The sequence below is a fragment of the Homo sapiens genome, chromosome 8 (assembly GCF_000001405.40).
Source record: "Homo sapiens chromosome 8, GRCh38.p14 Primary Assembly".
Classification (NCBI taxonomy): domain Eukaryota; kingdom Metazoa; phylum Chordata; class Mammalia; order Primates; family Hominidae; genus Homo; species Homo sapiens.
This window is the reverse complement of record NC_000008.11, coordinates 142075032-142076819: the sequence shown is the minus strand read 5'-3', so window position 1 is coordinate 142076819 and position 1788 is coordinate 142075032. Positions and strand designations below refer to the sequence as shown.

Here is a 1788-nt window from a genome sequence, read left to right as displayed (position 1 = left end):
ATGTTTATTGTTTTACAGTTTATAAAGCATTTCCACATGCACCATTCCCATTCAATCATCAGAAAAAACCCAGTCTACACTGGCAAACAAACATTTTGGTGAGGAGGACAGAAGTTACTTACTTAAAAGTTAAGAGGTCAGAGTTCATGGGCCAGGTAGTGAGGGTCAGGGCTGTGGCAGGACTTCTGGTTTCTGGCTGCCAGGGTCAGTGATTCTTCCAACCAATCTCGCTGACCAAGCACAGGTGAGGTGGTGGCTGAGGGTGAGGGTCATGAGAAGGAGCCGGGGGCAGGCATGGTCAGCAAGGGCTCATTGAAGAGGTGGGGCATGAGGCTAGAATGGGTGACCTTGGGGTTCAAGAAGAGCAGGGCCTCATCAGAGGAGGCCTAAAGGACCGAGCCGCAGCATGAGCTCAGGAGGGAGGGGATATTCACTGCTCTCAGAACCTAAGACCATTGGCCTGAGAGAGGGCGGAGCTGGAAGGATCCATGGTGGTCCCCTCCTTTTGCCTTCCCTCCCACCTGGCGCGGTGGAGCAACCAAGTCCCAGAGCACAGCTGCTCTGTGAGGGGGCAGAGGCAAGGCTGCAAAACGACTCGGTTTCCTCCCTTCACACCCACAGCTTTTAACAGTATTTTCCTTTGCACTGCATTTTTTCTGACATGCCCCCAGCTTGAGCATTTTTGTGCTATTAATATATCATTAGACGCAGTTTTGGATTTCTTCCTTTATCTTCAGGGCACATGTTTATTTTAGACCCCAAAACGGCAAGCAGAAAGGGAATGTTTGAACTGAAGAAGCACAGCACCGTGTGAGTTTAGCCACGGGGCTGAGGAATCCATTAGCTATAAACGTGGTGAAGCTGAGGGGAATGTGGAGGCCTCCGTTGCTAGGAGGCGAATGTGTAACTGCACCCAGACCACGAGGCTACCGTGAACCTTTGTTCTTCAAGACCGTTATCCTGAAGTGGTCCCTGATGTTCTCAGTGGTGAGGACTGTACTTTTTATCCTTGTGCCACCCTCCCCCACTCCGCGTAACTGGCTCCCTGTGGCATTTCTGCTCTCCCCTGTCCTATTTCCCTGCCCCACCTCCAGTGTGCACTGTTGGTGGGGTTTCCCATCAGTAAAATGCTCGAGTTTGATAAGGCAATTCTTTTATTATTATTATTATTATTATTATTATACTTTAAGTTTTAGGGTACATGTGCACAATGTGCAGGTTAGTTACATATGTATACATGTGCCATACTGGTGTGCTGCCCCCATTAACTCGTCATTTAGCATTAGGTATATCTCTTCATGCTATCCCTCCCCCCTCCCCCCACCCCACAACAGTCCCCAGAGTGTGATGTTCCCCTTCCTGTGTCCATGTGTTCTCATTGTTCGGTTCCCACCTATGAGTGAGAACATGCGGTGTTTGGTTTTTTGTCCTTGCGATAGTTTACTGAGAATGATGATTTCCAATTTCATCCATGTCCCTACAAAGGACATGAACTCATCATTTTTTATGGCTGCATAGTATTCCATGGTGTATACGTGCCACATTTTCAGCCTCACAGCATTAGTGTTCCAGGGATGTCTCTCTCCTTCAGCTCTGGAACTCTTACTCTCCTTCAGGACCTGAGCCCAGGCATCCCTCTGTCCCTGTATGTGTCAGCCACGGTGCTGCAAGGCTGTGTGGTACACACTCAGATCACACAGCCTAGGTGTTGACTTCTTGCTCACAGGTGTGAGTGTGTCTGTGTGTCTGTGCTCTGCCGGGTGTGGCTGGGCTTGGCCAGGCTGGGTT

At 49.6% G+C, this 1788-nt stretch overlaps 1 annotated feature.

Moving 5' to 3' along the window:
* Window positions 421–922: an enhancer, noted in NCBI's record as "H3K4me1 hESC enhancer chr8:143157259-143157760 (GRCh37/hg19 assembly coordinates)". NCBI's record gives its function as "activates a minimal SCP1, AML or CMV promoter by ChIP-STARR-seq in naive H9 embryonic stem cells {active_cell/tissue: H9 hESC(naive)}" and the evidence as "EXISTENCE:reporter gene assay evidence [ECO:0000049][PMID:30033119]".